At 36.9% G+C, this 22,496-nt stretch overlaps 1 protein-coding gene and 1 pseudogene across 9 annotated transcripts in view; one reads left to right on the plus strand and one right to left on the minus strand.

Annotated features, from left to right (window-relative positions):
- Window positions 1-22,496, plus strand: part of PTH2R (parathyroid hormone 2 receptor) — a 134,815-nt gene that overhangs the window by 87,340 nt on the left and 24,979 nt on the right. For 7 of the 9 annotated variants that reach the window (NR_163993.1, NR_163991.1, NM_001371905.1 and 4 more), the window contains 2 exons: window positions 3,718-3,778; window positions 12,864-12,930. Coding sequence is in view for 5 of the 9 variants with exons in the window: in NM_001371905.1 (NP_001358834.1) it covers window positions 3,718-3,778; window positions 12,864-12,930 (128 nt within the window). In the remaining 4 variants the exon portion in view is untranslated. Of the gene's footprint in view, window positions 1-3,717; window positions 3,779-12,863; window positions 12,931-17,144; window positions 17,194-22,496 lie in introns of all 9 variants that reach the window. The other 2 variants (NR_163994.1, NR_163992.1) reach the window with 1 other exon arrangement.
- H3P9 (H3 histone pseudogene 9) lies at window positions 19,207-19,595 on the minus strand (annotated as a pseudogene).

Genomic DNA, 22,496 nt, shown 5'->3' on the forward strand with positions numbered 1-22,496 from the left:
AGCTAGATAAATACTCAGAACTCTGTTAGTCACATTGTAGTAATGTGTGGAGTTACACTTATATTGATTGTGATGATCCTTTTCTTTTTAAATGTTTTATTATTTTATTTCTTATTATTTGTTAGAGATGTGGTCTTATTATGTTGCCCAGGCTGGTCTTGAACCCCTGGCCTCAAGCAATCCTCCTGCCTCGGCCTCTCAAAGTGCTGGGATTACAGATGTGAGCGACCATGTGCAATCTGATTATGATGATTCTTAAAAATAAATTGGAAGGAGGCTGGGCGCAGTGGCTCACGCCTGTAATCCCAGGACTTTGGGAGGCCGAGGCGGGCGGATCATGAGGTCAGGAGATTGAGACCATCCTGGCTAACACGGTGAATCCCTGCCTCTACTAAAAATACAAAAAATTAGCCAGACGTGCTGGCAGGCGCCTGTAGTCCCAGCTACTCAGGAGGCTGAAGCAGGAGAATGGCGTGAACCCAGGAGGTGGAGCTTGCAGTGAGCTGAGATCGCGCCACTGCATTCTAGCCTGGGTGACAGAGCGAGACTCCATCTCAAAAAAAAAACAAAAAGAAAAATAAATAAATAAATAAATAAATAAATAAATAAATAATAGGAAGGAAAGGAAATGACAATCTGAAGAAGAATAGGTGTCATATCTGACCTTTACTAAATTAAGGACAAATATTTAAAATAACTGTTTTTACATTTTATTATTATAAAACAAGATGCATAGAGAATAAAGGTGAATACTAATGATAACTGTTTCTTTTCATTCAACCAAGCACATTATTATTTTCCCCATCCTTGTCTCAGTTTTCCCATAAATAAGGTGCTTTATTCTTAGTTCCATTTTATTTCAACTACACATTTTCCTCTATTTTAATTCTGTATGTAAAAGGTATCTCTTTTTTTTATTGTTACTAAATATGGTAATTTGCTTCTATATTAGTAGCCATCCTTAATTTTCAACTGTCAGATGAAACACCAGTATGTACATATCATCATATAAAACCACCTATCCTAGTAATACCATCTTACATAGAATATTTTCACATAATATGTTCCCTGAAAATAATCAGGAAACAGTCCCACACTCCCATTTTATTCCCTTTGTAAAATATCTTAATCCAGCAAACATTTTTTGATCATCCACTTGGCAGTAAGTGTTTAAACACAGAGACAGGTGTTAAAGTCTCCCACACAAGATGCATGCACTCTGACCCTTTAGGTTATTTTGTTTGTTTTCTTGTTGTGATCATATGTATCATATTCAACATTTTTAATTTGTAGTTATTTTAAAGTTAATTTAAAGTTTTGTCTTCACAAAACTTATTTATTTTGTATTGACGTGTCTTATGAAAATAACTCCACTTTGGGAGGCTGAGGTGGGCGGATCATGAGGTCAGGAGATCGAGACAATCCTGGCTAACATGGTGAAACCCCGTCTCTACTAGCCGGGCGTGGCAGCGTGCGCCTGCAGTCCCAGCTGCTGGGGAGGCTGAGGCAAGAGTATGGTGTGAACCCGGGAGGCGGAGCTTGCAGTGAGCCGGGATCATGCCACTGCACTCCAGCCTGGGTGACAGAGCAAGAATCCGTCTCAAAAAAAAAAAGAAAATAACTCAACTTTCAGTAAATGCACATACTAGATAACATTTAAATTTATATTAAATTTACTTAATTTAACATTTAAATTTAAAACAACATTTACATGTCAAGTATTTTTGCCTTTATTTCTGTGTTCTAAATTATGTAACAATTCATATTAAGACTCGTGATAAAAAATCCTTAAAGGATCCCAAAGTAGTTTTCTGTTCTTCATTCTTCCATGGTAGTCTCTATGCTAGTCTTATGCATAAGATTCTCTAAGAAGGTGAGAAAAGCAATTCTATGAAGACATAATGCCTGTGTACGATATTTGACATAATTATCATCTAAAACATAATGCCAACTCAACCACCATTAATAAATACTGTATAGAACAGCATTCAGGAAGTACCTGATCAGAAGAATGTAAAGGAAGCAGAAGATGCAGATATAAGAATGATAAGATGTGAAAATTGATGAAAGACAGGCAGACACTTTTTGAAGACAACCAAGATAGAACAGCTGAGGGATCTATGTCAGGCCATGTGGTAGAATCTATGCCAGACTGTATGGTGGATTTATATCTAATCATCCTACCAGAAGCAGCTGTCCCCTCCCCATTACATAGTATCACTTTTATTTATTCTTCATAGCACCAATTCATAACCAAAAGCAACTGAAGTTGCTTTGTTAATTTTGACTGCTTCACCAGAATATAAGTTTTAGAAAACAGGGATATTGTTTATTTGTTCATTATTTATATCATTTAGAACAATCTTTGACACATAAATAGACAATAAATGATTAATGGAGAAATGTGATAGATAGATAGATAAATAGATAGATAGATAGATAGATAGAATATGCAAACTGAACCTAAGAAATAACCAGAATTAGGTAGGTCTATTTTGACAAAAAATTCCTAGAACACAGAATTTGAGCAGATTAAAGAAAGAATACTATAGAAACAAGAAATAAAATTGGAATATAGAATCATAAAATTCAGTAGTGATATAGGCAGGCTGAACTTAAGTTAGATGGTCACTAAGGAGACCAAAGACATTATTGTGCATATCATCATTTTCATCTTTTTCTGAAAATTTTCTTTTTCTAAGCCTATTTCTTTGTTCACTTTGTTGCTAAGAAAGAATATAAAAAAATTACAATTTTTTTAAAGGTTAAGAATTTAAAGTTATGCTTGATAAAAAATGTTCTTGGCTAGACCAAAATTTTGTTTTCCCCTTTTGTAAGGTGCTTCCTAGATTCTAAAATGTTTTCCTTATGGTTTCTGTATATCCTTTATTTAAACCACTTTCATAAAGGCCACATAATGAAAAGTCATCTCTTAAGTCTTTCAGTCCCCTACTGCAGTATTCCATATAAGTTATGGTTCATGATTTTTTTGTGTGTGATGTCAGAGTTTAATCAAATACAACATGAGCTGGACAGTGAACTTTTACTGGGGGGCAAACGAAAGTCGGTATAATGGATTTGATGTTACAAGCCCAGAAGGTGTTTAGCACTTATGAAGGACAAATATCTCGCGCTCAAATCATCAGACAAATATAGTGGTCACCCTTTTCTATTAATGCATGAAAATGCTTCTGTCTTGTGCCAACGTGAACTAAAAGAAGAGACTAAACTGGTTAAAACTTCCTGATTTTTATAACTTGCCTCAGTATGCCTTCCATTTTTAGGATGAAAAAATTCTAAGTTTTTAAAACAACAGCATCCCTCAGCTTTTCAGGAGTCCCTGTGTTGCTTCACTCCTTGAGAGCATATGATGGTCAGCGTGACAAGAGTCAAAGTCAAATGCCAACCATTGCTTACTTCCAACCCTAGGAACTTCACTCTTCTCCAAATATGGCTTTTCCCTACACCCCTCAGATGAAAATTAGGCCAGTTTTTATCTTCAGACTAGAGGAACAAATAACATCAATATTCTTGCTAATTTCTCAAACTGACATGATTAAAAATTAAGTGGACTTTTCTTGTTCACATATCAGAAATTTTCATGTCTATTTTTATCTCTGAACAGCTAATAGTATATTCTTATATATGGTGAATTTGAGGAAAAAACCTCCTTAATCTTAAAATAAATCTAGTCTCTGAATCATTTTCTGATTTCAGGGTTTCCAGCAGCATTTGTTGCAGCATGGGCTGTGGCACGAGCAACTCTGGCTGATGCGAGGTGAGTGAAAAGGCAGGGGAAACGAGAGAACCTCAGATGTTCTCAAGACTCAGGCTTCCTGCTCAGAATTCACACTCGCTTCTGTTCTTGATGCCATTGCTTTTTAGGGATGCCACAAGGAAAATTACCTTGATGCGATGGTAGCTTCCAACACATTACCAGCAAGCTGTCTATTCCAGAGGTCATAGAGCAGAAACACTCGCAGACTAGATGAAGGTGCCTGACCTCCATAGATTAAGAAACAAATGTAAAATATAATGTGAGAAGCAAGTGGAAAGAGATGGGTAAGAGAATCCACTTAGGATTTAGTGAAAGCAGGTTGAAGAACTACACTACCTGATTCCTAGGATAGGCAGTGTTCATACTCTCTCTCTCTCTCTCTGCCACATCAACTTTTCCTGAGGATGGTGTGGTTATGAGGACCTGCGATAAGGTAGCACGAAGGGGAACTACAGACAGAATCTGGTGCCCTGGGCCAGTGACACATACTTCCTCATAGAGATGGAGAGGCAAGTACACTGGCTACATTTGTAGCTTCTGAATTAGCCTGCAGAGAAGTTCTGGGTTTTATTTGTGGCCCTTGGGAAAAGGACATGTGGGAAGGAGTTCCATCAATCCATGAATCCTCAAAATCAAAATATTTTTGAGGCTGATAATGCCCTCAAAAATATTAAGAACTTCCTTTGTATCAGGGATTGTTCATGGCTCTTGTATATTTAGTATATTATGAATGTTTAGAGCTCAGTTGCCTCATGTGTCTTTAGTACCTGGGTTTAACACACGTGTGGTCTACTAACTCATCCTTATCTATATTTAATGCAAACTGTGGGTTTCATGCATCCCATTTGTTACCATATCTTCTATAGCAGAATTAAATATTTTAAAATAATAAACACATATTAGAAGTGGAATTTATCTCTAACTGTGAGTCATTAAGTTCTTCCAGGTAGCATGGAGCTAATTTAATGTGTCATTTTAAAGTACAAGAAAACAATGCTATAAATCATTTAAAATGTATCATTTTTAAGGATACATTTTAATGTATCATGGTACACCTAATACATTTAAATAACCATTTAAGTGTAAAGGGTACATTTGCATTAAATAGTAAAGAATCCTTTCTTTATATTTTGACAGACCTGAGTTCAAATCTTGATTTAACTGCTTTGTTAGGTTAGGGACCAACGGACCCAAAACACATGATCTCTTTGTGTATCAGTTTCTCATGTATAAAGCAGAGATAATAATGTATAGATGACATTAATACATTATTATGAACACTTAGCATAGTACCTGGCACTAAATGGGAGTGTGCTGAGAAGGAGCTCAGGTACAGGTGTCTTATAGGCTTGTTCTGCTACTTCTTGGTTCTGGAACAGCAGATGTACAACCTAACCTCTCTGAGCCTCAGTTTTCTCAGCTGTCAAATGCAGTTAAAATGAATACTACTCTTTACAGAGTTGTTGTTGTAAGAATAAATGAGATAATGTATGTAAAATAACTAATGCAAAGTTTGGAATGTACTGATAGTAAGTGCTAAATACTTGTTAGCAAGTATTATTCTTTGGCTTCATTAATTTGTATTCACAAGTAATGTCTAAAGAATTAAAAAATAGCATTTTTGTATATTGTTATTTCATTAGAAAGCCAAACTCATCCTTCCATTAATCCTAGCTTATAATATTTTGATTTTTATCCCGTCAAGTTGATGGAACCCTGGTTCTGCTGAAGCTAGAGCTTATAAATTAGGCTGTAGAAAAGATGAGGGGTGGAGGCCTTATAGACCCTCATAGGCCAGATTAGGATGTTTGGTCTTCGTTCAGTGATAACGACAGCAAATTTGCATTTTGTGAAGATAATTACCAGAACATTGGGTAATAATACGTGATGTTGGAGGAAAGTAATAATGAAAACATTTTCTGGCATTTCTGAGTGCTGATCACATTCCAGGTACTTCATAATTTTGCAAATATTAAGTAAGTTAAAACTCATTATTAACTCTATGAAACTGAGGTCAGAGAAGTTGTGCTCAAGGTTGCACAGCCACGAATGGTAGAAAAGTACTTTGATCTCAGATATTCAGGCTCTAGAGGCATTCAGAAAACACTTACAGGCGGATGAGGTGTTTCTATTGAGATAAGTGGAATTTTTATTATATGTGAAGGAGTAGAGTTGAAGAGGGATTCTTTCTACAGTATCACTGATAGCTTCTCACTCTTCAGTTGATTTAACACATCTGGTAATCAAGAGTACACAGTGGAAAATGTCCAGCATACACTAGACAGTTTTTCTCTTATCTTCACTATGTCTAGCCTTTTGTCTTTTTACCTCAGAGAGGTAAAACTTCTAGTTCTTTCTGTTCTCTAAATCAGAAATAGGTTATCACCTACCATTAACTTTTCAACAATTCCCATTTTTTGTTGACATATAAGCTCATGCCTGTGTATTTGTATTGCATGTATACATGCAGTGTTGTCTCCTGGCATATGTTTTTCTCATTCACATGATAAAATTAAATATATCTGCATTTCATGGTGAAAACCATAACTACAAATGCTCTACCTTGTTAGTGCGTTTGAAATCTACTATTCTACCATATAAATCTTCCTTATCAAATTCCTGCAGCATTTAGTATGCATATTATATAATTATTCCTTTCTTATCTATCATCTTATTTCTCTAAATGTGCAAGTGTAACTGTCTCATTTTTCCAACAAACCATGAATTCCAAATGGGCATAAATGAAATTCCCTGTTTTACAGTAGATAACTCTTCAGTGCATGCTGATCAATTCTTCTGGATTCGGCTGACCATTTTTTCTCTCTTTGCTCCATATCTATTAAGCAATGATAAAGTTTGAGTTAATGCAAGTTGTGAGTTATAAGGAGGTGTGGTTTTTCTTCCATTCATGACTTGCAGCAGTCATTCTCAGCCTCAGTCTTCCATCTGTGAGATGAGAATAATATTCTTGGCCATGACTAATGCTGTGAGTTTGCAGGGGACAGATCTGAGAATTAGATGAGAGGCCATTATGAAAGGGCTTTGTAAACTCCAAATTTTAGACAAACAATAAATGTTACCTTCATTGTGCGTAAAGAAACAGTAACTTTTAAGGCCCGATCATTATATATAAACAGAAAAAAATCTTGACCGCCCATCTCCTATCATTCCTTATAAGTGTCTGATAGCTTGTAAGTCGCCCTTTACTTCTGTCTGACCCAAGTGCCTCCGGGGCTGACTGCAGGGAGGCTGCCTGGTAAAGGCTTTCAGTTGGCTCAAATGGACTTTGGCCAGAGCCCCCCAGTTGTCTGTGTTTCTCTTGAGGGGCTACATGATGAATGAACATGAAAAAATTCTTTTTTTTTTGGTATTATTTCTATTTAAATAATGATGAGAAAGAATAGGAAAAAGTAGAAAAGCATTCAGGTAACTGCGCTTTGCTCTCATGGTCAAGCTTATTGCTATGGACTGAATTATGTCTCCCAAAATTCACATGTTAAAGCCCTAACCCCCAATGTGACTCTATTTGGAGATAGGGTCTATAAGGACCTAATTAGGGTTAAGGAGGTCATGAGAGTGGGGCCCTGTTATGAAAGGATTAGTGTCCTTATAAGAAGAGATGCCAGAGAGGCTGGCTCTCCCTCTCTCTCTGTGCACACAAAGAAGAGGTCATGTGAGCACACAGTGAGATGGAGGCTACTTACAAGCCAAGAAGAGAGGTCTCACCAGAACAGGACCATGCTGGCACCCTGATCTTGAACTTCTAGTCTCCAGACTGAGAAAATAAATGTCTATTGTTTAAGCCACCCAGCCTGTGGTATTTTGCTATCACACGTCAAGCAGATTAACACACTTATGATAAAGAAAAGGTAATTTAAAGAGAGGCAGCTTTAACCTATATATGCAGTAATGCCAAGCATTCTTTTATGTTAATAGAGAACAATTTAATATCCACAGATTGTGTACGCTTTGTGACAGCAGTTCCCTTTTTGTTATCTCCTGGGAACTTTATTTAAGCCAATATATTGTTTTGAGTTACTAGATATTTCCTTCAGGAATTATTTTGTCTGCTATGCACTGAAAAAAAAATCACATACTGTGAATACCTAAACTCTATAAAGAACCTGTCACTCACTGTTCCTGAAAATTAGAACTGTACAGAGTCATTGTCTTTAGGTGCAGCCTTCCTCCTACTTGCTTCAAAGCTCCCCATTCATCAGCTTCCCTCAGTTCTAAAACTTGCTGGCTTTGCATTTTTCCTTACTTTGATCCCTTTATGCTATTTGAATTTGTTAACAATTGAGGGTTGATGTTATCTAATTGACATCATTATTGCTATATACACACAGTGAGATTGCAAATCTCAAAGAAAACTTGCAATACCTGTTACTTGATTTACATGGGAGGGAAGTTGCATCAGTAAAGAGGTACTAATTAATGCTATCATGATCATATTCTGAGATGTGTAACTGTATGACCTAGATTCAGAATTTTAGAGATGATAGGACTTAAGGCATTTTCTGGTTCAATCATCCCATATTAGAGATAAGTAAAATGTGATCCAGAGACATCAGGACACATTCTCAAAGCTTACCGCTAGACTGAAGCAGAATTTTGACTCATTCATTCAATTAGTTATATCATGTGACCACCTTGCAAAATATTCCACTTTCTTCCTAACTTATCAGAATAAAATCTTGAATTCTACAGTGCCCAGATCTGGGATAATTGGATGAAGGGTCATTTTATATTTAATTTTGCCTGTAAACATAAACTGTGTTGCCACTTCTCTGAGATGATTTCAAAATTGCCTGATTCAACTTCACATAAAATTCAGCTTTTCTATAGATAAAGTTTTTGTGGGTTTTCTTGGGTGTTATCTGACCTATATAGCGCCATATGACAACACTCTGGGGAGAGAACAGATTTTAAATATCTTCAAAGGATGAATGGGGTTCATATTCATGTCTTATATTTGAGACTCAATGTTTTCTAATCTGGCCTTTCAAAGTGAAACCTCTGATTTTCTCTGCATCTTGGCTATTTGGAGATAAGCATGTCAGACCCAGTTTTAAAAGATACCTTAAACTCTATTGATATACAAAAGAAGTCTCTTTCAGATTTAAAATTCTATTAGGTGTTATTTGGGCTGGGCAAGGTGGCTCATGCCTGTAATCCCAGTGCTTTGGGAGGCCAAAGCAGGCTGATCCCTTGAGGCCAGGGGTTCAAGACCAGCATGGCCAACATGGTGAAACTCCGTCTCTACTAAAAATGCAAAAAAAATTAGCTGGGCGTGGTGGTGCGTGCCTGTAATTCCAAATACTTGGGAGATTGAGGCAGGAGAATCGCCTGAACTGGGGAAGCAGAGGCTACAGTGAGCCGAGATCACGCCACTGCACTCCAGCCTGGGCAACAGAGGGAGACTCTGTCTCAAAAAAAAAAAGAGTGTTATTTTACTAAGGTCAGCTAAGATAATCAAGTAGGTTGGGCAAATTAAATTAAAAAGTGAGCAATTTTGTTCTCTTTCTTTTTACTTACAAAAGCAAAAACACCTTACACGGTAATCTGATTATCTTCTCTTTGCCTCATTCGAAGGAGATAAGAGATGCCAATGAGAGAAGAAACCCATAACTTCTTTGCTGTATTTTTGTTTCACCATCCAGCAGCAAAGGTGGGGGCTGCAAAGGACCAAGAAGCCATCTGACATTTCTAGAACATCTGCACAGGCTTTTGGGGTCAGCTTCTTTCGCTTCTTCTACTCTTACTGATTGTAAGTTGTGGAGAGAAGGTAGTGCTCAGCCAATTCAATTCTCTGGATCCCTTGGGCAGAACAACACACCTGTTTTCAACCCTGGCTGTAGGAAGTTCCACTTTCTAGTCAGACCTTTGTATCTCATGCTTCACCATCCAGAACTGCATTTCCTAGAAGGTTAAAGTTTATTAAAAAAATTTGAACAGAGAGTAATTTCTGGGACATGTTAACAAAGACAGTGTGAGTGGGAACATTGAAGAATTAACTAAAAACAAGCATTAATAACATTTTCTTTAAAAAGTTTGAAATCTCAATTTTCTTTCCTATATCACAGGGGAAATTTGAAACTTTGACACTGAAAACCATCAAAGACAAGTTTTTCATGTTTTTAGAGGTAGCTGGTTTTGACCTACTTCCAAATGCAAGCATTTTATAGAGCCTGAATTGTATAATTGAATCCCAATGTGTTAGGAGACACCATGATGAAATGCCATTAAAGCAAAGAAAGAAGACTGTGAAGATATTACCAAATGTCAAAAACTGAAAAGAAAATTTAGGGAATCCGAAAGCCTTGTAGCTTAGATCTTGGCTAAGTGAATCAATGTTCAATTTACAGTCACATGATATATGCCACCTTCCTTATGGTAGAAAGCTTTTTTAGGGTAATGTGATTCTGCATAACTCAGTAACATTGTCTTTTATCTTTCTTGTCTGGTTAAATAATGTGAAAAACAGATACATGTAAACAATGCCAGAAAATGTTCAATAATATGCAAGTGTAAGATTTTTGTGTCTTAAATTTCCATGTTATTCAAACTTCAAGACAATTGAATATGTGCATTTCATTTTGGCTGGACCAGAATTACACTTTAGTGTAGGTTCTGGTTGATTTGGCTGTGGTATATTCTCCCACTGGAATGTGGAGCTGCTGAGCTCTATTGGTACAGATATGCAAAGAAATAAAACATACACTTTTAAAAGGAAAAAGCAAATTGCAGAATAGTGCATACATGACATTTTTGTATGATAGAGGAAAGTAAGAATATAACCTTTGTATTTGTTTGCATATGCATAAACATGGGAAGCATACACAATATGGTAATAAAAGGTGTTATCTGTAAGGAGAGGGATGGGGGCAGAGGCAGACAGGAACATGGGGAGGACTGAGACATCTCAATGGCTGTCTTTTTATATAGTTTGATTTTAAAAATGAGAACATATTGCCTCTATGTAAAAGTTAAACTTAAAAATATGTAGTTCTTAGTGTGTACTGAAAATGTTTTACCCTTAAGGAAAAGTCAAAATGGTATTTTATTATCTATAGCTTGCTCATTAATAAAAAGTAAGTTCGTGATAAGTTCATTATCTAGAATTAAAAAACTATCATTATATCCCACAAATTTCTTTATATTATTTGCCATTGCCACAATCAATACTGGGTTTTGTGAAAAGAGAAAGAAACTTAAGACTTTTATTTGTGCGTCTTTTGTTTCAAGTGTTATATTAAAGTGCCAAGTCGTACTAGTTTCTTATCATTTCTGTGCTATTTATTCCAGTGTAAGATCTTTACTAGTACAAACCAGATTGGGTGAGCATGAGTAAAACTTAATTTGAATTCAATTGATGTCAGTTCAATCCAATAGATATTTATTGACTACCTACATACTGTTCTAGGACTTGCAATACATCAGAACACAAAAACAACAGTGATCTCTGCCCATGTAGAACTTAAACTCAAGTTAGGGTGGAAGGGAAGCACCAAATATAAAAAATAGGCAAATTATATAATTTTTAAATTAAGTACTGTTAAAAACAAACTTTTTAAAATTAGGATAAGGTCGTGGATCTTATACAAATAGAAAATGGACAGCTGTCAAAGATTTTTAAAAAAATTTTTATTTTAGGTTTGGGGGTACATGTGAAAGTTTGTTCCGTAGATAAACATGTGTCACAGAGGTTTGTTGTACATAATATTACATCACCCAAGTATTAAGCCCAGTACCCAATAGTTATCTTTTCTGCTCCTCTCCCTCCTCCTACCTTCCCCCCTCAAGTACACCCCAGTGTCTGTTGTTTCCTTCTTTGTCTTCACAAATTCTTATCATTTAGCTTCCACTTATAAGTGAGAACACGTGGTATTTGGTTTTCTGTTCCTGTGTTAGTTTGCTAAGGATGATAGCCTCCAGCTCCATCCATGTTCCTGCAAAAGACATGATCTTGTGTTTTTTTTGTGGTTGCATAATATTCCATGGTATACATGTACCACGTTTTCTTTATTCTGTCTGTCATTGATGGGGATTGAGATTGATTCCATGTCTTTCTTTGCTATTGTGAACAGTGCTGCGATGAATATTTGCATACGTGTGTCTTTACGGTAGAATGCTTTATATTCCTCTGGGAATATGCCCAGTAATGGGATTGCTGGGTTGAATGGTAGTTCTTCTTTTAGCTCTTTGAGGAATCGCCATACTGCTTTCCACAGTGGTTGAACTAATTTACACTCCCACCAACAGCATATAAGGGTTCCCTTTTCTCTCTAACCTCACCAGCATCTGTTATTTCTTGACTTTTTAGTAGTAGCCATTCTAACTGGTGTGAGATGATATCTCATTGTGGTTTTGATTTGCATTTCTCTAGATATTTTAACCTCATTAGTTAATGAGGGAACTACTAAGGTGTTATGATTGGTTCCAAGGAGAAATCTAAAGAACCACATTTACATTCAGTACAATAAATACCAAAAATTTACAAATAAATGCAAAAACTACTCAATATTTACAGGATACTAATCAATTACATTCCACTGAACATCATAGCTAATTTTCATTTCTATGGACAGGAATAGTTTGCGTTCATTTTCTATTGCATTTCTATGAATAAGAATAACTTGCATTATTGTAAGGATTCTACAATTTTTGAAGTAAAATAGAATTGCTGTAATGTCTGTGAGAGAGAACTTTCTTTATCAGTGAATTTAAATTATCATGGCTCATTCCAATAATAGTAAAAGTGAAGTATCAGTTGTATGACATTTAGAAGACTATTACCTTTTGTGGCTCTGGAAACATGGTTGACTCTCGTCACAATAAAAGTAATTCACTAATATTTATAATTCTCTACTCATCTTCAAGGGGTAGCTAATAATATGAAAATCAATACCCGTTACACTTTTTCCCCCCACTGGCTTGGGTGTTTTAAGATAAGATTTCTTTGTCTATTTGTTTCTTAATTGGAAGTGTGGGGTTGGAGTTTTTGGTAAAACTTAAAATTCTACTTAATACTACCCATTTGCTTTGCCAATTTATTCATGACAGCTTTTTTTCAATGTCTCAGGTGCTGGGAACTTAGTGCTGGAGACATCAAGTGGATTTATCAAGCACCGATCTTAGCAGCTATTGGGGTAAGTTTAAAAGTTTGTATAGTTAAAAAAGGGATGAAAAATTAACCTGCTGCTAAAACCCAGAGAAAGTGTGTCTGTCACTGCATTCTACAACAGATCTGAGAAACTGACAAGTACAGCAACATCTATTGGGAGAGTCTGGGACAGAGATCAGACCCTTATTGTGACTGACACTGAGATCCATGCAGAAAGCCTTCCTTTAATCAGCTAGCACTTGGGGTCAATTCCGAGACTTCAAAATATCTATGAGCATTTATATGTTTAGGGAGTTGGAAGGCCCTATGTCTCCTTTTCATCCACGATATTATTTTACCACTTTAACATTCTGATCACCTGGTAGTAGGTCAGTGTGACAGGGAGGAAAAGGTGGAATAGCAGGAAAACAGAGAAATTACTGAGAGAGAAGAATGGTAATATGATGTATAAAGTATTCCCTAAATCTTTTATTTGGCATACTTTCCCCAAGGAGTTAAGTACATCTTATACCAAGAAGTATCCCACATAATTCTATCTAATAGGTATTAGATAGAATTGAAAGTAATGGCAAAAAACACAATTACTTTTTCACTAACCTAATAATAGGGAGAAAGACCACAATGCATGTTGCACTGGACCTTATCTGCCTATAATATTTCCAATGCACATTGCATCTGTGTTGCAAAGGAAAACAAAACCACACACTTCTTTGTATCTAATAAAACTTATCAAAATGTTTACTCTTGATCTTCTTTGAAGACTTTAAGGCATCAGCTTCTTTTGGGTTGTTGAAGAAATTACACCACCTTGTGTTTTCCTGGTGTTCATGTATGTAATACATATTACAAGCATTTTAAAAAAATAATTACTATCTTGATAATAAATGTTAAATTAGAAAACAATGTAGCAACTTGATTATTAACTAATTTTGATGTTTTTCTTTGTTTCCCAGTTTCATATTCTTCTTGTTTTCTTTTGGACAATGTGTCACCTACTTTGTCAGAAGGGCAGCTATTAATGTAGTTGAGGTATTGTAACCTCATCCAAAGAATCAGATAAAAGCTTATTTACCTCATAGGAAAAATGCATAAAGAAAATAGGAGAGATCAAAAGGAATCTTCAGTTTAGAAGCCCATTGAAATAAATGTTTAGAGACGGAAATAAAATACAGAACACGTTTAGAGAAGCTATTTTGTATCCTTGCTAAACCATCCTATTAACAAATTGGTCCCAATTCCATATATCCTAGGAGAAGCTCAAAAATCGATTATGGATGAATGCATGGCTTAAATGTATAAACACCTGTAATTTTAATTTTTAATGTAAATCAAATGCTGCTACATTAATTTAGTGAAAAAAATCCTAGATCTGTAACTATATCCCTGAGAGACATCAGTGAACTTAAAGATAAAAATTAACTGCTCAGATTTCCCTTTCACTCATTGGTATTTAATCCTTATTTATACTTTTAAGCCTTTTATTTTCCTCCTTTCTAGTTCCTCCTCTGTGTGTTTGCTTCTCCATATCTTACTATTATCTTTTTAAGGGAACAATCTTTATCTTGTTACTTTTTCTTTGCCTTCAGTGTCTTGTACTGAAACTGACCAATAAGAGTTAATTAATGCTCTTAATTTTACCCACATTTTAATATAATGATTATATAATGATTAAATATGATTTTACATTTGATGAAAAGGAAGGACCTATTGAAATGCAAGAGATCCTTGTAAAATTATCAGGAATTGAAGCAAAGGACAGTGGAGAAAAGGAAATCCTAGGGCATTTTCCATGGAAATGACTGATTTTTATCCAAAGCTTTATAGTTTGTTTACAGATCTAAGTCACTCACATCATCACCATGGATGAAAAATTTATTTTCTGAGATTTGTAACTTGTAATGTGAAACAGTAAAGCTAGGTGATTAAAGGGCTTTTGAAGATTCGCTGTTGGCGAAGGAGAAATAGAAGTGATGGCACACTCAATAAACTTTGAAGAAAATTAATGTAGAAGGCCATTTTCATCTTCTTGAGCTAAAATTATGACAGTTCTAAGCTAAGAATTCTGAAGTACTTTTCCTATATTATGAAGTTGATTTAATCTCAAAAATCACAGCTGAGACTCAAGAATATCTTTCTGTTCACTAAGAGTTACCTTTTTGTTTCATTATTATAATTTAGTGTTATCACAATTCCCTTGAAGGCTCTTAACTTACTCACAATCTACTAGTGTATCTGAAAGTTTTCATAAAATGTCAAGAATTGGATTTGAAATAAATAATTTACTTATTTTAATCAATAATTTAGAGAAGGCTGAGTTAAGAAGGAGAAAAACTAAAAAAGCAAGTGGAAAACTAAAGGAAAGAAAAAATAGAATTATAATGAAAAGCTCCAAGGTATAGTTTTCAATTCAGAAGAGGGGAATATCTCAAGAGACAAGAAGATACACCTCAAGAATATAGAGCTCCTAGGAGAGAGATTTGGCCCTCCTGGGAATAAGAATGTGGAAGGCCTGTGTGGATAATTGTGTGATGTGTAACACCAGGTAGTTAGATTGCCAGTGGCACCGGTTCAGAGGATCAACTTGAAGCACACACAGAAATCCTGGAAATCCAGGAGCTTGGATTATACACAGTGAACCCAAGTTGATATGTTTTAAAACCTGGATTCCAAGGACAGTGATTATTTCACTTAGAATGCCAAAGACCAGAGCTCTGTAAGCATGATTAACATTCAGGAAAAAAACTAATTTAATATCTGCATTGGAAGTAAATAATAAACACAAAATCATGAGCAAAGGTGGTAGTGATTAATGGGGGAAATTTATTCATCACAGGTTGGCAAGTGGTACGAGAGCATTCCAATGGTCTGTGCCAAGGTTGAGCGTGGGTGTGGAATAATGTCAAGAGCTGAGGCTGCAAAGGAGGCCGGGCCAGACCCTGAAGGGGCTTCTAAGCCTCACTAAAGAATTGACACCTAATCTTGCAAGGGATGACAACCAAAGGTTTAGACATTGGAAAGTGAAGGAATCAGGTTTTTCATTTGGAAAGATCTCAGGGCTTCGTTGAAGCTGGCAGTGGGTAACCACTGTGGGTGTCTGCTGGGTGGGGGTTTAAGCCACAGTGATATGAAGTGGAAAGGACATGGGGCTGAGAGAGTTAGGGCTTGGAATTCTGAGCACTGTCCCTTCACACTTGGCATACACATTTTCCTCATTTCCATGACCTGGTCCCTTCTTCCTCCCCCATCTCATGTCATCTCATCTTCTCCCTCCTGCTGCCTCAGCTCCACACAATGGCTTTCTTTAGTTTCCTGAACATGCTACACTGTTCCCACCTCAGGGCCTTTGCCTGTGCTGTTCTGTATGCCTGCCATACTGTTCCCCCTGCTTGTCCATTCTTCCTTCAGGTCCCAGCTTACGGACAACCTCTTCAGACATCCCTTTTCTGACCACTTGACAGTGTCACAGTGGTTACAGCATAGGCTCTGGGCGAGACTGCCTTCGTTAGCATCCCAGGTCTGCCCTGTTGTTGAGCGTGCAGGCTGAAATTTTATGGTACAGGCTGGCCTTGGGCAAGTTATTTAAACTCACAATCCCCTTTTGCCATCTAAAAGATGGGAATAATAGTGTAGATTACGAGAGTTAATCACTGGGCTGCATTAGGAACAGTGGCTGCCACACAGCGCTGTAAGCATTAGCTATTATCATTTTTACTTTTCACGTGTTAATAACTTGCCCACACTCCAGGTAGATTTCTCCTACTCCCTGCAACACATTAACTTAAAAAATGTCTCCATAAAGTCATAAAAATAATGTTGGTTTCTGGACAGCAATAAAGCTAACACATTCTACCTTGTATATCAGGAAGTGGCTGTTCAGACCTGAGGGGACTCCCAGGGATGATCTGGCTTCCCAGACTCCACGATCCCCTAGGATGACACCATGATTGCTTCTCTGTTTGTGCATAGGCACTTCTGATTACAGAATGTCCACTCTCCTTGTATCCCATAAAACCTGGCATACCATTGGTGTGACTATTTTTTAAAAGGCTATAACGTTATCTACCCAAAATGGTATAATTATTAACTCTTGTTGGTAGGAGTAGAGCTTATTTTTACCCTTTTGTTAAACATTTTAGTATTCTCCATTTTAGGTGTATCAGAAGGCTTTACTTCATAATCGAGAAATCGATATTTACATTTTGAAAAAGTTATTAAGCTCTCACTTTTGTAATTTTCCAGGTAAACCATTCCATGATTCACCTTCTATTCAAACACAATAAAACACGAGGTGAGAAAAGTATAACATAATGTTATTTTCACTTTTTCTTCCTATGTGAGGTCCTGTTATTAAATGCAATAAATATTTGATTAAAAAGAAACGTCTTCCTAAGTACATTCTATGATCTTCCCCGTGACTTGCTGGCAAACCAGGCAGACAGTAAGTTAGCACCCCTGTGGTGAACCTGACGGGCGCCCGAGGTCTCTTCTCTCCAGGTCTGCGTGAAGATGTAAAGACAGGGAAAGCTCTGCCACACCAGTACATGATTTGTCTGTCCAGCCCATTTGAGATGCACATGGACACAGTATGAAGGACCAAGGAGGTCTGCCCTTTCTTGGGAATGATGCCAAATGTGTCGCAGTAGTTACAGCATAGATTTTGGGCCAGGCTGTCTTTGTTAGCATCCCAGGCCTGCCCTTCTGTTGAATGTGCAGGCTGAAATTTTACTGGGCAGGCTAGGCTTGGGCAAGTTTTAAAAAGTCAGGGTCCACTTTTGCCATCTATAAAATGGGAATAGACTGGGCATGGTGGCTCATGCCTGTAATCCCAGTGCTTTGGTAGACATAGGCAGGAGGCTCGCTTGAGGCCAGGGGTTCAAGACCAGCCTGGGCAACAAAACAAAACCCCTTATTCTTTTTCCCATAATGACTGTGCCTACTCACACTCATACTAACAGGGTACACATTTTTTTTTCTCTCCACATCCTAGCTAACATTTATCTTTTGTCTTTTTGAACTACCAACGGCCATTAAGCCATTCTTTGTTTGTTTGTTTTTTTGAGACAGGATCTCACTCTGTCACCCAGGCTGGAGTGCAGTGGTGCAATCATGGCTCACTGTAGCCTTGATCTCCTGGGCTCAAGTGATCCTCCTGCCTCAGCCTCCTGAGTAACTAGGACTATAGGCATGTGCCACCATGCCCGGCTAATTTTTGTATTTTTTGTAGAGATGTGATTTTGCCATGTTGTCCAGGCTGGTCTCAAACTCCTGGGCTCAAGCAATCCACTCGCCTCTGCCTCCCATAGTGCTGGTATTACAGGTGGGAGCCACCATGCCCAGCCATATGAAGCCATTCTAACAGGTATGAGGTGTTAGCTTGTGGTTTTGATTTGGATTTCCCTGATAATTAGTGATGATGATCACTTTTCACATACTTGTTGGCTATTTGTAAGTCTTTTTTTTTTTTTTTTTTTTTTTTTTTTTTTTGTGATGGAGTCTCACTCTGTCACCCAGGCTGGAGTGCAGTGGTGCGATCTCAGCTCACTGCAACCTCTGCCTCCTGGGTTCAAGCGATTCTCCTGTCTCAGACTCCCGAGTAGCTGATATTACAGGCACGTGCCACCATGCCCAGCTAATTTTTTTTATTTTTAGTAGAGATGGGATTTCGCCACGTTGGCCAGGCTGGACTCAAACTCCCGACCTCAGTGATCCGCCCGCCTCGGCCTCCCAAAGTGCTGGAATTATAGGCATGAGCCACCGCAGGGCCAACTCCTTTTTTTTTAAAAAAATATTTTAATGCATTTTGGTAGCAAACTGACAGGAACAGTGCAAAAACAACATTAAAAACATGTACTTGCATGTAGGATTTCTGAGAAAAGTATAGTGAGTGGATGGAATTTACTGTATGATAAAAGTGCTACAAACACCAGTTAGTTGCTGTCAAGAAATTTTTTTTTTTTAAAAATCCAAATGCTGGCATTGTTCAGAAAAATTTAACAGGTCTATTTATAACTGCTATAAAGGTGAACTGCTGAAACTTGTTCAGCTGAAACATTTGGTGTGCATTAATACTTTGTTTCCATGCATTTATATTACAAATTCACACAAAAACAAAAATGGAAAAACTGCCAATACGTGATTTCTATTCCCTATTTTTTCACTCACAGTCATTTACTTAGGTGCCTTTTGACTCCATGGGGGCAGCGGCAGGGGGAATCTAACGCTCAGAAATACCAATAAAAGGAAGAAGAGCTTTTCATTTTTTTTTCTTTGAGAATGAAATGTTTCCCATCATAGTGGATTGTCAAGCAAGTTCTCCATGAATGCAGCATGGATGTCTTTTGGCATAATTGTTACACATTTGGCCTGGATTGCACACAGCTCGGTGTCTCCAGAGAGGCCAACCTGATAGACGTCACTTTTCTCCTGCAAAGCACCAGCAGCTGTGCTCTGGATGTGTTGATCTGTTTTGAAGTCCTTAGCAGTTTCTTGCACCAGATGCTAGGAGAAAAGTTTATGGATTAGGCATTCAGTGGACTTCTGATAACATCTAATTTCACCAAGCGCCTTGGTATCCAGCCTGTTAACGGTGAAGTTTCTTCACCCCTCCAGTAGATGGCACACTGGCCTTTGTAGTTTTTTTGCAGGTTGCTTTGAGGGCAATCTGCATGGCATAGAGACCTCCTAACTCATTCCACTTGGGCTTGGTGAGCTAGAGCTGTATGTCTTCTTTTGAGAAACGTCTATTCAGCTCCTTTGCCCATTTTTAAATTGGGTTGTTTCTTGGTATTCAGTTGTCTGAGTTCCTTATATAATTTGGATATTAGCCCCTCATTGAATACATTAATTTTTATTGAATACATTAAATACATAAATATTGCAAATATTTTCTACCATTTCACAGGTTGCCTTTTCACTCTATTGATTGTTTCCTTTGCTGTGCAGAGGCATTTTAGTTTAATGCAATCCTGCTTGTTAATTTTTGTTTTTCTTGCCTGTGCTTTTGGTACCTATTTCTAAGTATTTTATTCTTTTTGTTGTTATTGTAAATTGATTTTGTTCTTATTTTTTTTGGATAGTTCATTGTTTGTACAATTTGTTCAACATTTCAGCCAAATTCTTCTTATCAGCTAGCTTTTGGCATCTGTCCCAGGGAAGAAAGTGCTTACATTCCATCCTCCTTGGAGATGTCAGACTTTCCTTAAATTTCGGGTTAATTGGTCATCCTGTAACTTTGTTCTCTGATGCATTTTAAAAAGTTAAAAAAATTTTTGTCAGATTATCCAGCATTTGTTTGTTATAATAGCAAACAAATGGTGGGAGCAAGTTTTCTTTTCTTTTCTTTTTTTTCCCCCTAGCTTTCTACTATTGGGGAAATATAATTTAATACAAAAATCTTCTCCTAACCTAAAAATCTTCTCCACAAAGGTAATACAGAAGAAAAACACTTTTAGTATTAAGTTACTCAACCAGAATGTGGTGTGCACTACACGCAATCTGCTAAGAGATTGCAAAGAGAAAGAAATCTCACTCCTTTTTATAGCCAAGCAGTTACAACTCATTATATACACGTTTTCAAGAGACACAATAACTAGTTCTCAAGTAAAAGGGACTTGACAATACTATATGCTACACATGATTCATCCTAACTTTACCTGGTAATTGGGGTGACCACCTGTTGTGGCTAAGTAGCTTTATTGGAGGAAAAACAAGCTTGTCATTTCTTTATGTCAGGAGGAAGTTTTGCAACTTCAAGATAGGTGCCTACAGAAGTTAAGCTTCTATCCTACAAAAACTGAGAGACAGGGATGCTATCTCTCTTGATGTTAGCATTTCAAAAAGATGGTTCCTAGGTCCTTGCGAAAGACATTCCTGGGCCATAAAGCTGACCAAAGGCCTATCTAATCTTCAAAAGGATTTATAAACATTTCAAAGAGATGAGAAAGTACATACAAGTTTTCTAAGGTAAATGCTCTAAGAAAAAGGAGGAAAGTGAAATCTCTTCCCCCATTTTCAACAGGGAGAATGAAGACTCTTATTTTTAAATTTGTATTTGGCCTCACACCGTCTCCTATGCAGCAGCTGACATCTCTAGGCTAATCTGATAATGAAATGGTCTTGCAGTGATTTCCAGCAAAACTCTCCTATATATTTTCCTCCTGGGATTTCAGGCCACATTATTAGGGACCATGAAGCCTACATACCTCATATTACTTTAGAACCTGTCTGTAAAGGGAGAAATAAGCCCAGAACTTAACCACCATGTGTGCAGAGGGTGGTGCTCCTTCTTCTGAGTTGTTCTGTGTGGTGAAGCCAGGAAGGATGAAGATAATAATAACAACAACAAACACGACATAGTTCTTACAATATACTGAGCAGTGTTTTAAGTGTTTTATGTACATCAATGTATCTAATCCGACCAATAACTCTAAATAAGGAAACTGCCCAAGAATACCCAATATTAAGTGATGGAGCCGGGTTCTGACTTCAGCATCAATGTCCCTACCCAATGAACTCCATGCACTTATAATAAAATCTAACATCTCTGATAATCCAGCAAAGATGGCTCACTGATGCTTGTGCCTCTTTACATGCCACACCCTGGCTATGTTGCTTTCCAGTCAGTTGCTTGACCTTGTCTGCCTGTGTTTTTCTCAGGGCTGTTCTACATGCCCCACTGTACTTTTAGAAGGTTGGAATGTGCTTCCTTCTGTGCCTCATTTGAAATACTACTTTTTCTTTGTGACCTTGATGCCGTCCAATCTAAATTAGATTACCAATTGTAATCTACAGGGCACAGAAAGGCTTTTTCTTTTCAACATCACAGTATATCATGTCTTTCATTGTTGAATGTCCATCTTTTTCACCGAACTGCAAGGTTTATGTAAACAAGAACCATTTTTTTTCTAAACTTATGATACCTAGAGCTTAGCTAGTTTCCTGGCACAGAATGACCACTCAATAAATACTTGTTGGAAAAACAAAACATGCATATAAAATAGATATCATGGGGAACTGGGAAGAGGAAAGAGGCAAAGTAAGAGCACAAAGCAAGTAAAATTAAAGAACTTGTGAGTTCATTTTATGCAATCTTTTCAATTTCTAGAGGAGAAAACTACAGCTCACGCAGATATAGGTCACACGACTAGTATGATGAAACAGACTTTAACATGTGTTTTGTGGCCATGTTCTTTTCACTTGCTTTCTAAAACCTGTCAAACTGTGTCTTGAATTTATGGGAAAAATCTTTCCATTTATATAGCTATGTGCATAGTTTTAAAAATAGGTTAATTTTAGGATATAAAGTTGTTTTTTAGTCATGCATTACATGTGGCATGGTTTTAAGTAAATATATGCATCATATATGCTAACAAAGAAACTATTTGCCCAGAATTTGAAATCCAAATTAGATCCCTTACTTAATTCTGTCTTTGGCTATTATAATACTGTAGATTCTATTAATTTGATGTTTGTATATCTAGGAGTAAAATTAGATAAATTATGGTCAGAATTTCTAAGCAATATATGAGGTAAACTAAATTTAAGAGAGTAAAGGAATTTGTTAAGTATGAGCAGTCAGGAGAAGTCATGTCA

Source organism: Homo sapiens, chromosome 2, assembly GCF_000001405.40.
Source record: "Homo sapiens chromosome 2, GRCh38.p14 Primary Assembly".
Lineage (NCBI taxonomy): Eukaryota > Metazoa > Chordata > Mammalia > Primates > Hominidae > Homo > Homo sapiens.